We start from the raw sequence: 14947 nt of genomic DNA on the forward strand, positions 1-14947 counted from the left end.
GATTCTCTTCTAATTCTGTTTCATTTCACAAAGCCATTGATTTTGACAATGTATATTGCACACCTATTATGTTGATAGCAGTGTGCTGGGAATTGCAAGGGATGGAATGATAAAGAAGACATAGTCTCTGGCTTCAGAGAGTGTACTGTGTCTGTGCATATTTGTGTTTGAGCCTGGACAAGTGAGCATTTAATTGTGGTATAAGGTAAAATATGATTTGCCCCTTTAGCTTCCCATGCCATTTAGAAATCTCTTTTTAATAACTCCCTTTTCTTATCTTTCTTTTATTCAAATGTAATGAAAGATGTTCTAGCTACCAAATGAATCACTTCCTTTTCAAAGTTAAACCAAGAAGTTACCTTAGGTGCCAGTGGAAGACACTCGTGACAGCTGAATCTGTATTTTGTAGCAATCATGATCTGCAATAAATGGCATTTATGTATGCTTCACAATTACTTGTTTAAAAGCCCATTTAAAAATGTTAGATTCTACACTAAAAGTCATGGCTATGTCTTAAAATATGTTGGTTTCGTTGACTCCAGTCATTTTGTAGTTCTTTTCCAAACAAATTCTGTGTACATACATTATGCATGATTAAAAAACCCCACACATACAATGATTTGCTGCATATTTATGCTACAATCAAATCCCAAGGTAATTCTGTAGTCAGGACAGAGCACATACTACTCTGCTGTAACTACTGGCTTGATACAGTAAATTCAAAAGGGAGCATTGGGGGTTAGCAGTTGCGGCTGAAAGGGAAAATCAAGAAACAGCAGTAGCATCGCTTTTGTCTTCAGCCTGCTCTTCAAGATGTAAGAGTCTCCAGTGGGTGGGAGACCTACATTCCACCTCCCAATTCTGGTGATAACCCTGCCGGTTACACTTCACAATTACCTTTTTAAAATGCCAATTAACCCATTCAGTGCTGTTTGGCATACTGTGAGCAGTCAGTGACAGCAATATTGCACACTGTAGTCCTACAGTAAGGCATACACATACAGAAGCACACACATGTGCACATGCACACACATGATTAGGACTGGAGTGAGGGAGGGAGGGAGAAAGGAAGGGAGGTAGGGGAGGAGGATGGCGGCAGAGCTCTTGGTGGGTGCAGCAGCCCTAGTGTGTATTATTGTGGTAGTTAATGTTGCATGGGAATTTAATAATTTTTTTCCATTGATAAAAATCAAGAATAAGCAGATACAACGGTATTCCTGTGCCATTGAGAAGTATAATGAAGATCTGAATGTACAGATATTATTCACAAGAAAGAAAGCAGTAAATGAGATTTGGCAATATCCCCCATTTTTAATTGTATCTCACCAGCTTGAAAAGCAACTGCAAGTTAATTTTAACCATATCGTTTTGGATGTTATATTTAGTGTTTACTCTGAAGAAAGTAGCATTGATTTAAACTCAACATTTTCTATTTCTAGGCAATTAATAAAATTACTGTTTACTTACATGGCATCTTCTGCCTCCAGATTCAAAACACTCCCCCAGCACTTTCTCATTTCTTCTTGCTAGGGGGTACATCGCATGGGAGATGGGTGTGTTTGTCTTATTTCATGAGTAAAGAAACGGAGGCATAGAGCCCTGCCTGCCTGGTCCCTTAATGTGTGTTGGACAGAACATCCTCAGAGTTTCTGCTCAGGGCAGGGTGTACTGCCGGACCGGAGTCCCATGCTCATCTGGAATTCTGGACTTCCATTGAAACACTCAATCAAAAGGCACAGGAATTTTCACTGATTGACCAGAGAGAGGTGGAGTGGGGAGGCAAAGTGGGGAGAATGAATCGCTAGCGCCAGGCAGTAACTAAAGAAATGAACCTCTTGACGACAGGTAGTGTAACATGCTCAGAACTTTGGGCACGTCTTTTCCTAGAGAAAAACTCCTCTGATAGAGACAGGCACGTTCACAAGCAACATGGGCTCCTGCATTTACCAGGTGTGCACAGGCATATTTCTGCCTCAGTAAATTTGTTGCAATGGGCATATCCCAAAACCCAGAACTTAGTCTGTGGAATAAATGACTTATGCTAACAGAATGAGTGAAATTCAAGCATGAATCCAGGCTTTCTGGCTGAAAAGCTGACCCGGAAGCCTAACTCCATTGGTATAACAAGAGCTACTAATATTAATAGGAAAGAGGAAGACACATAATTTCAATCCTGTGGTTATATCTAAACCTCCAGAATTAAGTGGATTTGTCACATTTAAGTTTTTTTTTTTTTTTATGAAAGTCTGTTTTTAGGCTAGTTTGTAAGCAACTTTCCATTAAAATATTGATTTGAGGAATTACCCAAGCTGAGCACAAATATGCTTGCATGTTTTACATGGTTAATATATGTGAGTATTGTTTTATGAGTTGCTATAATTTTGCAACAGTAACTAGCAATGTTTCTCTGCATTTGAAATGTTTGAAAAGCTTCAGAAGTGAATTCCCAGGTGGTAGACAATGACTTTTCTCAATGAACAGTGAAAGTTGAGCTGCTGACACACTCTTCTGGGTACATAAACACAGAGGTAATTGATCAATGTTTCAAGTAAATTGTGGTTTTTTTTCTTTAGCTTATGTCAGAGTATATTTTTCCATATTTCGTCTGTCTCTACTGCAAGAAATAAAAAATTAAAATGGACACTCCAGTTTACCTCATATCTGAACAGGGGTAATAACTCATTAGTGGAATTAGGCTGTGAGTTAGTAATGGCCAAGCAGCCATTGCTAGTTATGTGTGACTATTTAGCTTTCAAACTCGTACATATATCCCCGAGATGAAGGAAAATAGTTTATAATATCTCTAACAAAACACATAGAGCGTTTGAGGGGGTTGAAGAGCACGGACATTCTAAGTCTGTCTTTGAGCCACAACAAATAAAATAACTAAAATCCAATACAAACTTCCCCATTGGGTCCTTATACTTCGTATTTAGAAAATGCCACAAAATAATAAAGCCTCAGGCAATGTTAGTGACTTCTGCAGTTTATCTGTTGTTCCATTCCAGGTAGTTTTGAAAGCTCCACAGTGTTTAATTTAAAAGTTCTCCCCAAGCCTCAGTGTGTGGGGGTAGAGGGGTATGGGTATATACAGTTGATATGTGATTTAATCTAAATCAAGGCAAAAAGGGAGACATTCTGTATATGTGGAAGAGTATATGTATATAAACATTTCACACTCATATGAAAATCAGAAAGAAGAAGTAATTAACCATAAGAAGGACATAGTAAAGTCTGATTCGATGGTGCAAATCAATCTGATCCAAAAAAATGGAGATTTATCACTCAAACTGCCCTGGGTTTATAGTTCATCCTAATATTTCCATAGATGAGACTAAGAATGGGTAAGGAAGATAAGCTGTAACTTATGATTTTCTTTCTCTTTCTTTCTACTCTTTTTTTTCTCCCTCCTTCCCAGAGTAGATTTTAATTTTTAAAGGATATTTCACTGTTTTCTAGTAGTCCATGCATATAGAATATAGAATAAAATGCAACATGAAAAAATCTACTGAAGAAATCACAATTTAATATTTGTGATTTTTAAAAAAAGATATTCATCTTAATACACACCAAACACAAGCAGATCGGGCGAAGAGGAATTGTTTTATATGCAATGGTCTGTTGCGTTCTCTGTATCAACTGGGAAAAAATTACTGCGAACGTCTGGACAGAGAAGCACCTGGAGTTATAACAGATGTTCTTTGGACAGTTAAAGAACAGGCAGTTGACATATTTAGGGTGATGTGTCACAGTGGAAGAAGACAATATGGATTGGTGGCTCTTAGGTTTTAAATAACACAAATATGATTGTAGAGTTGTAAAGGTTGGAAGGACGTGGTAGCATTTCAAACATTGCTTGTTAGCTCCTCATGAAGGTTAAATAATAAAAACAAAGGTTAATGGGGGTTCAGCTTGCTGCAAAGCAATAAAGTCAACTTCATTACATCTATATCTATAGGTAGATAACGTACACCTATATATGTATATCTATTTATCTATATACCTTTCTAGTGTCTTTCTAAATGGGCTATGAATACAATAATCCTCTATCTAAATATACTTAGAATGGGATAAAAAAATTCCTTGGTAAATTTCTGGGGGGATTGTCTTTTTACCTGAATTAACATGTATAATTCTAGCATATAATATGTAAATACATTAAGAAATAGAGTTTAAAAGGTAATCACATTAATGCCTTCCTTGTTGAAGTTTTAGCAGTTATTTTCCAAAGAAAAAGAGAGAAAAGACAGGAGTTTAACAGTGTATGACACTCAACACAAGTATCTCACAAATGTGAACATTGTTGAAAGAACGTAATGAAAATAATAATTTGTATGATGCCATCCCAAAGATATATCTGAGGCATGCCCGCTTTCTGATTATGAGGTTGAGAGTAACAATGCTATTTTCTTCATTTTATGGCAAAAGGTTCACATGAGGTTTTTGAAACACAGTTTCATGGGCACACAAAAAATAAAAAAAGTATATATTAATGTGAACTTCTTTCTTCTCTATCAGCTCAGCACACATTATAAATGTATGTGTAGCACTGTAGGTGCAAACTACAATAGGTGGATGGATATTTACCCAAGGAAATTTGAGCCACGGCCTTTCATTTTCAGAGAGCTGCTACCTAATCTCAGTGTAGCATCAGGACAAAGGACACCTCATTCCTCTTGCGCCTGCCCTGCGAACCAACCCTTTGTGAACCACCTAAGCGATTAGAATAATGGGCTGGGAAAAAAAGATAAAATACAAATTTCACTCAGATCTGCGTTGGATTACTTCCTCGTGCCCCTGCCTTTATTGAGCGATTTGGAGTTTCATTAGAATTCAGAATTCCTGTGGAAAGAGAAACCACGGTGGCACGGACTTCTCTTTCAAGGGGATTGCAGGCTGACCCATCAAAATGAAAAGGCTCAATGTTGTGCTGACAGGTCCCCAAGCAGCCCTGAGTGACAGCTTCATTTCAGGAGTTCTCAGATGAGGTTTGAATTGAGGGGGGAGAGGTAGTGCTGGAGATACTTTTTTCCCTAAAAGTGTCAGAGTCAACTCTGCAGCTCACCGACCAGGGGCAAAAAAGAGCAGAAACCAGTCTCTGCTTGCCCATCTCCTAATTTATTATTAATGTCTCACTAATATTCACTCCGCACGAGGTTTCATATGAGACTTAGAGTTCTTAGCCATGGATTCCTTTTAATTACGACTGTGGGGAGAAAATAAAGAGATAAGAAAGTTAGTTCTGTAAAGAGACTACAGCCAAAAGGTACAACACTCTGCCTGGACAGTTTTTACAAAGGAATCCTATTTAAGTAGGGCATTCTCCAAACCAGTACTGCCACACACATCTCATCAGACAATGAACTGAAGTCTATCCTCTTTCTCCGCTGATATGATCTGATCTGAACCACAGTAATAATGAACAATAATAATGTATAATGGTTCCTCATAATTGTGCACTTGCTGTCGTGGGATAAATCTTATACATCTTTTCTAGAAATAGCACACATAATAAGATGAAATGGGTATCTACAACTCTGTGGATGAAAAGTGAGAAGATTTTTAAATTTCCAAGGCAGTCAATATTCACTGAGTCACTATTCCCATCTTCCAGTACTCCAGCCACTAATGAAAGGCAGCTTAGAAGAAACAGACAATAGACAAAATTCAGCTTCCCCATAAAACATTTCTCTCTTGATACTATCCCATGTGTATTTTTATTTCAAGAAGGATACTCTGTAGATAAGAGAAAATAACAAAATTCATGTGATTTCTTAAAATAATAGCCATAATTTTGAAAACTCTTTTTTAAAAAAGAAAAATGTCTGTGGAATGCAGATAAAGAACTCTCCTTTTCTCCAATTATTATACATCCAAAATTCATTTATTATATTTCTTCTTATATTTCAAGAAGAGTATTTGCATTGTCTCTGAGTTGTATGATAAAACCACAGCAACACAACACTGTCCTTAAAATATATATGTTATTTTTTTCAATACTGCAATAGAGCCCAAAGTGGCATAAATCTATTGCACTGGCAAAGTATGAGTTAAGGATAATCTTGGAAAACTTCATCTTACATATTTTGTTTTTACCCAATTTCTTATGTTTTATATTTTCCTTCAATAAATGTGTTTATATTACACGTTAGAGTTGTCTTCAAAATAACTTTTTATCTGGTCGTATACTTCCAAGAATTTATCATATTCTCTATCCTAAAAAATGAAGAGGATGGAGAAATTCACCTTTTCTATTTGGAAAGATGATCTTAAAAGTCACATACATTTTTAATCAATTAGGATATTAGGGTTCCTTTAACTTTAAGGAATTTCATCTGCATATATGATATTATGTTAATGAAATACTGAATATATTTTTCAAGGATTACTATTATTGAAATTTTTGTTCCATGTTTCCAATAAGAGTGAATTTTTTAGTATAATTTTCTCTGGATTCTTTTATTTCAGGATCCTAAAATTTTGTGACCCTAGAGCAAGTACTAACTATGAAAGTGAAATAGAGAATGAAGGAATTATTTAATTAAGTCCAGCAAAACCCAACCAAATCATCTGTAAAATATATTTGTTTTCAACATCCAGGTATTTTCTGTGTAAAAGGTTGAGTTGTATGCTGACTTATTGGGAAAAATAATTGAGTTTTCCCCTTCACTTTGCCAGTGAGAGGAAATCAGTACTGTAATTGTTAAAGGTTACCCATACCTACCTCTACTACCGTCTAGCATAGGTAAAGTAATGTACACTGTGAAGTTTCCTGCTTGACTGTAATGTTTTCAGTTTCATCCCATTGATTCAACAGCTATTTATTCAGCACTTACTACAACCATGCTGGAAACCCAAGAGTAAATAGGCTGTGTTACTCAACAGGACTGAGGTACAGCCGAACTGTCAGGCAAGGTTGCTGTCCTTTGGACTTGCCTGCTTTCTCTCTATGTAGGAAGAAGAAATGGACATACCGTCCAGGAAATAGATATATGTTACATTTCCTTATTCCATAATTAATATTAATAACCCTGGACAGAAACTACCAAGTTTCTAGACCCTTATAGTACCACCTTACCCTTTCTGGATGAATCCTTCACATGTTGATACATTTTATCCAAATGAAAATTTTGGTACTGTAGGTATAACAGACAAAGAGAGAACAGAAAACTAGAGATGAAGTTTGGGAAAAGGTCAAGAAAGTAAATAATGCTTCTAGAAGACACAAAAAGAAAAATGAAATGGTAATGTTGGGAAAGTTTTAATACATTTTGCCCTAAGGAAAAAAACTACTTGTTGAAATTCTACTTAAGACTGGACCTTTTCTCTAAAAATTGTGCTTGATGTGAATTAAAGCAACACAGGGAAATTTATGGGCTCCTTCTAAGTTCTACCCAACTCACCGCAAAACTGTTCCTAGTAGGTGTGGTATACTCTTTCAGATTCTTTGTGTGTATGTATATGTGTGTGTGTGTGTGTGTTTGTATGTGTACAGTCTATATACATATGTGTACCTACATGTGTGTATATATAAATATATATTTACCTGGATGAAATAGCATATTATAGAATATTCTTTTTTCTTTAAATATATATGTGCATACATATGTATATGCACATATATACATAAATGTAGATATAGCTAGGTAGGCATTCATGTGAAACAAAGAAGCCTATTACTTTTTAATGGTTGCATGATATTCCATCATAGGAGTATAGTACAACTTATGTAACACACATTTGGCTTGTTGTAAAATTTTGGTATTAATAAAATAGCACATATCATGCAAAGACACCCTTGCATAGGTCTATTCATTCTTTGATTTTTACCTTAGGACAAAATTTAAAAGTAGAATTTCTGGGTCAAGCAGTATGCTCATTTAAAATGTCATTGCATATTTCCAAATTGTCCTCCAGAAAAGTAGTAACAGTAACAATTGATGGACTGCGTGTTTTCTAAAACTTGCATTTTTTTCCTTATTGGTGAGGTTTGGCATTTTCCATATGTTTATTGGCATTTTAATTTTTTTTGGTTCATGTCTTTTATTCCCTTCCTGCAAATTTGTGGTGTGTCTCAACTTTATTTATACTCTCATTTTCATAATTTTCTAAAGGAATTTGACTTTAAAAAAATAAGACAGCCAATGCTTTGGTTTAATTTCATTGCTGCTTTTTGAAGTGACTGCTGTGTTTTTATATACTTTTATATTTTGTTGTTTTAGCAAATTCTTCTATATTATAATTGTGTATGCTGGAACAAAAAGTTATATTTCTTAATCTAGATAAAATATTTCAAGATGTTGTAATTACAGTCCCCTCTAAAATCATATAAATAGACGCATAGCTGTGTGATTTGTAATTAGTTATGTCCATTGATAGATCCTGGGCCCAAATTGCCTGTATGATCAATATTTATTCAGTATCTAGTGAATAAAAATGGAGTGCTGACTGCTTTTCAAAAGATTCTTAGATAAAGAAATAGGTCACAATTTTCGTGTTCTGAATAATAGTTTTAAAGATGGGATAATTTAGAAGAAACAAAGTTCACATTTGACACTCATTCTGTATCGTAAAGGTCTCCAATAGCACAAACTCTGAGAAAAGCCTGGAAAAACCATACAGCCTAATTGGTCACTTAAAATATTGCTTAAAAAAGAAAAAAATAAATCTGTTTAAAATTTGCTTTTAGATCTGATGCAGCATGTAAGAATAAAATTAAAATATCTTAATAATTAGAATTAGAGTCGTGAGAAAAAATGATGACAATAAATCACTGAAATGATTTCCAAGCATGTTTTGACCTTTTACACTAGACACTAATTTTTGAAGACCTTTTGAAAACCGAAACAGAGGATGATTTAAACCATCCACATTCCTCCTGACTTGAGCTTTCACAGACGTGAATGCTGATTGGAAAATCCTGTCATGGTTTCCCTGAAGAAAAAGAGTAATAATGACTATATGAATATGACATTTCAACATGCAATGTGATGCAAAACAAGGGTTTTTTTTTTTGTTTTTGTTTTTGTTTAAAAAAAAAAAGAAGAAAAAGAAATCTACCCCCAAAACATCAACTACACTGGATGCAATTTTAGCCCAGTGTGGATCTTATTTGCACCCCGTTACTCATAAACACCCAAATGTAACTCTTTTACTAGAGCTCCTTTTGAGTTCAATGTGATAATGAATGTGAAGGGTCTATGTGAGGGGAGTTGGGGAGGGGGGCACTTTGTGATTTTGCAGGTTCACACCAGATAGGCATTTTTTATAGCCTGAAAGGGGATGTTTTCTTTTGTTAATGGCTTACAATCAGATGAAAGGACTCATCACTCTATTTTAGTGCTCCACCACATGGCGCGTATCTTTTATAAATTACAGGCTGGCGTTGTGTGCACTTGGGGAGAGAAAGGTTGGTTTTTCTCGCTGTGAGCCATCCTGCCTAATTGTCGTATGCAAATAAAAGCAATTATAAGGCTTTTAGGGTGAAGGGATGACAGCTGAGTTTGGCAGTTGAGAAGGCCTCACCCACCTTGTTGGCATAGCAACAGGGAGGAAAAGGACAAAATGGTGTGTATACACAGGAAATATATATGTTTTGGTTCAAGAATTTTAAAATATATACCAGTGTTGAAATGAAAATGTCAATATGTGTAATGAATGCCTTTGTTTAAAATATTATTTAAATTAAACTCTATTTATTTCTCGGCCCTTTGAATGATCCTTGTCATCTAACTACCATTTATCTGCTGTCATTTGTGATTTTTAGTTGCTACTTTTAAAGTTCTATGCAGATCATAACAACAGTATTCAGTAATTAGGAGATTATAAGTTCTTGATTTTAACAACCTTTGGAAATACCACTGGGTGAAAGTTTTGTGAAAGGAAATCCCAGTAAAGGAGATGATGTAATGTGGGAAAATGGTGCAAAGTATGCAGCTATCAGTGCATAAAGTTCAATATTAAAAAAAAAATGTTTGTGCTAAAGTGTTAAACAAGTAGAATAAATAGCATGCTACTAGCATACAAAATTAAAATGAGTCACAAATGGATATCTTCTATGGCAATTTATTTCACAATTACTCTTGTGGAAGCTTTCATGAATTAAATATGAGTTCTGTCTTGAAATTAGGTGTTATAAGGCTAAATTACAAGAGGCAGGCAGTAATTGAGGTGGCAGCAACACAGGGTCTGGTGAACTAATCTCTTGCCATGTCACATGGCTCACCTTCAGCCAATGAGATGCCTCCCATCACAAAAACAGAGGCAGCTGAGAAAAATTGATTTCTCATCTGAGCCATATTTGATAGCTTTTGAAATCGAAAATTGAAATTAACTAACCTAAGCCCCGTTGTAACAAAAGAGCAAATTAAATATGCAACATCGTTTCCTATTGGCAGTAAGAGGGCCTGCCAAGGTAAATTTGTAAATAGAGTTTAAGATGCAATTCTGTTCTCTCTCTCTCTTTCTCTTTCAGTGTAAAAGTATAAGTGTATAGTGGCTGTATAAATTATTTATATAAAAAAATCATCAGCTGCAAATGGCCACTGTGGTTAAGGACTTCCATGGAGAAAATGATTGCATTAGGAGAGCTCATTGAATGAATTAAAATTAAAAATCATCCTCAATGATTTGCTCATCTTACCTAAAATAAAAAGTAGGAATATTTTAAACTTTTTTCCCCTGAACTTTATTTTTTTTCTCTCCCCCCAAACTCAAAGAACAAATCTACCATAATTTACTGAAATTAAAAACAACCACAACCACTGTGGTATAAATTAAACCACCCAACTGTCTTGTAAATAATTGTAAAAATTAATTTTGATTCACTAATTGCTTAAAAAAAACCTATTACTTCATTGTGTCATATGTGATAGTTTCAAGTCTGACCACTTTAAAATTATTTCCCAAATGGATCCCAGTGATTTGGCAAGTATAACTATTGATTCTGAATGTATAAATATACTAGATCAGATGAAGGAAATAGGTGTCTCAGAGGCTATATCCTAGATAACCCAGGAGTGACAGTTTTTAATTTATTATTTCACCCCTGCTTGTGCAATAGGCTGTCCAATATAATGTTTCTATCACCACAGAAAGTGTTCGTCCTGACTTTTTATTGCCTGAATTTTTTTTAAGTAGGCAAATTAATTTTATATGTTTGAATGATAGGTGATTGAAGATAAAAATCATGAAATCACAGTACAATCCTGTCTTCCTTGTTCAGATCTGTACCGTACATATAGAATTCAATGACAAGCATAATGGAGGGTATTATACTTAGCCCGCCCGTCAGCCCATAGATCTGGTAAAATCATTTTCTGTTCTAATTTATTATTTTTAGTGTCAATCTGACTCTGAGGAGATAAGTAACATCATTAGGTACTGGGATCAACTACTCAGCACTTTTTAAATGCAGTTTAAGTAGTTGTCATTATCTGTACTGGAAGACATAGTCAAGGTTCAGAAAGTTTTTCTGTTACATAGAAGTCTTGTTGGAAAGAAAGCCTTAGGAAGATAAAGTCTAAAAACACTACTTTCATTTCCTTTGTAAGAACCAAATTTCAAGGAGGCACCAAGAGGCCCCATATTACTTCCAAACCATAGGTAATGCCCAGATCTCATTTCTCCCCTGAGCCTCTAACCAGAGCTCCAGTTGCACAGCTGTGAAGACGGACTCAAGCTGCCCTCATGTTCTTTGCCCTGCTGTTCGCTTTCTATTGATGGTGCTGAGGGAAGGAAACATACCCAAGTTAAGTAACCCCAAAGGAAAGGAGAAGAAACCAAAGATGGACTCAATCTAGGTACAGGACATTTCCTCCATGAAATTTTTTTACTCAACTTTCTAAAAAATGCTTTTGTAAATAATATTTTTATTTGTAATAAGTTTCACCCTAGAAAAGTATTGGCTACAGATTGATAATTTGCATTATCCAGCCTTGATACGCTCCAAATCGTTTTAACCCAATGATCTGACTGAGTTTCAGAAGTAGCACTAATTAGACAGAAATAAGTGGTTTTTGGTTCCATTTTATGGATGATTAATAAGAAACAACCATGAAAAATTCTAAATCATAGATTTTAATTGGTCACATTTCCTGTAGTTGGAAATTCAAATTTCTAACTTCATTCAAAGTGCATGGATTTGAATCAGTTTTATTTCTTAAAGCTAGAAATCAAAAAGTTTAAATGTTCAAGATCCCATCAAATTTTAAGCATAGAAAGAAATTTATGTACAATTCTTAGTCAACTGGTGAGATATTCAAAGTATTTAACAATTGGGGATTTGGACACTGATTATTAAGGAGAGAGGCTAGCTGTAAATAGCTGGCATGGCTGTGGGATTTTGCAAAGACTTGAAAGCAGCCCTGGATTCAACCAGTATTTATTAAACACCTACTACATGTCAGGATCAATGCTTTGTAATCGCTGCCTTTTTTATATTCTCTTTCTTGTTTATGCCCTTCACTTTGTAAAATGCTTTGCTAATATCTAGATGCTTTCTCCATGTCTTCCAAAATAGTAGCCCTGTCAAAAAGATGAAGTACTTCAAAAGCCCTCCCTAGTGGTGAGATTTCAGTGCTTTTAAGTGATTAGAAAACATTCACCTGAAAATTTGGTCTATCATTCATTTCACTGCATTAATTCTCACCTCCTTGTACCTTGTTTCTACCTCTTTAAATGGAGATTCTAATACACATGGCCTCGAGTGGTTTTTGGGTTTTGTTTTATATATTAAAGGAGGTCAGATTTCAAAGCACTTGCACAGTGTCTGGTCTCTAGCAAGCTCTCAATGAATGGTTGCCACTAACTTTTCAGAAACGTGGTTATGAGCTCAAAGCAAGGATCTAAGCAGAGAATGAACAGTAGGCACACTTTTCGGGAGGATTCTTGCTTAAGAAGGAGAGGACAGTAGTACTCTGAGCCTACTACGTGCATTCTTTAAGGGCATTTCACATTGATTTAACATCTGATTTAATCCTCACAATAACCCTGAGACAAAGTTACTAGTCTTAAAATGCCCATTTAGGCTAAACTATCAGAGGGTAAGTAGCCAGGGTTCTAACTAACATCTCTCTAACTCTGTCATATTTTCTTTTTATTAAAAAGCTGTGTCAAATAACTGGTGTCAGACATTGTGCTAGCATCAAGCAGCTCTAAACATACTCATGAAATATATAGGAGTTCTACATAATGGAGAGCCGGAAGTAATTCTTATCTCATTTTTACAAGTTCTTCTTTTAAGACTGTCTATATATATATTCATATTGTCATAAATGTATAGTTGTATAGACAAACAGAGTGGATGATCTGTAAGTTTCAGTTAAGTTCTGGAAACAAAGAGATGTTTAAGGGGGAAATGCCTCTTATGTATATTCTTATATGCATCATTCAGATTTCTTTCTGAAGAAGGTCAGATTCATGCATCTTAAGCTACTGTAAGATTTGATAAACACACACTCCAGAGAGTCCTGTACACTCAGGACTCACACCAATCAAATATTTTTTGTTGTTGGTGTTAGGATCTAGTATTTGCACAAGAAGTGTCTCTTCAAAAACTTTTCTGTATGTTGACTTTTATTTTATTTTGCTTTTTTGCCTAAGTGGATTGAACTTACAGTAACTCAGTGAGTGCACTGTGATACCTATAGCCTTAGTTTTGGAACACTAAGGATCAAATCTCTTTCTATTTTATGAATCACAGCTTCTTGAAACCAAGTGTCTCCTGAGGTACTGGAGTTATATCTGAAAAGAAGTTGGCTATGTCTCCTGTTCTCATCGTTTCTCTCTCTCCCTCTCTACTGGTGAATACAGACAAAGAGGCAGCTATTATGATATAATATGGCACACACAACACTGGAAATAAACGGGAGGTGTCATGGGAGCATCTAGAAGAGATAACTCACCTGAAACTGTGAAATCAGAAAAGTAGTGCTTTCTCTGCTGAGATCTGGAGACTGAGAACCAATTATTCAGGTGATGGAGGTGGTGGTGATGGATGGGGCAGGCTCAACACCAGGGCTCAAAGCTGAGCAAGCAGCACATGCAAGGGCCAAGATATCAGTAGAGAGCATGGCCCAGTACCAGAACCCAAAGTCAGTAAACACAGCTAGAGCACAGGGTGTGTGAACTAGAGGGCAGAAACTGAGATGAGGTTGAAGAAAACGGCAGAGGCCATATTATACCTGTCCTCCATGTCATGTTCAGGAGGACAGTTAGAGACCTTTAAGGCATTTTGAGTAAGAGAATGGTGTAACGGGAATATTCCCCAATTGCTGTGTATGTTAGAGGCTATCAGACAAGCGGCAGGGAAGATGGTTAGGAAGCTGTCGGCAGCAATTCAGATATGACATGGCAAGGTTCCACTGGGGTCATTCTGGCTTTAGAGATGGTGAAAGTGGAGAGATTTTTGATAGATATTCAGGACTTGGTGATAAATTGGCATGTAGGGGCAAGTATGGTTAAAATAAAGACTGAAAGATAATAACTAACTCCTGCACACCAATAATAGAAAGATAATCCAGAAGAAAAATAGGAAAGAGAGAGGAATTAAGGAACTCATATGAGAGGAAACATGAGGGGCCAAAAAACATATGAATGCAACCTCAGCCTCACTTTTAATCATAGAACTGTACACTACCACCAAAATGAGATACCATTTTGCACCCATCAGATGGGCAAACACTAAAAAATCTGACAACGCCGCACATCAGTGAAGGCGTGAGTAAAGAGCAGCAGGCATTCATACCTGGTGGGAGTCGAAATTGGTGTCACTTTGGAGACCAATTTGGCATAATCTAGTAAAGCTGAAAATATGTATGTGTTCCATCTAGAAAATCTACTTCTAGGTGTGTATCCTGGAGAAAATCTTACTCTTGTGCAAGAGCAAATGCGTAAACATATGCTCATTCTAGTATTGTAGCGTACAGGTGACTTGCATGTGTAATTG

This window comes from Homo sapiens, chromosome 15, assembly GCF_000001405.40.
Source record: "Homo sapiens chromosome 15, GRCh38.p14 Primary Assembly".
NCBI lineage: Eukaryota > Metazoa > Chordata > Mammalia > Primates > Hominidae > Homo > Homo sapiens.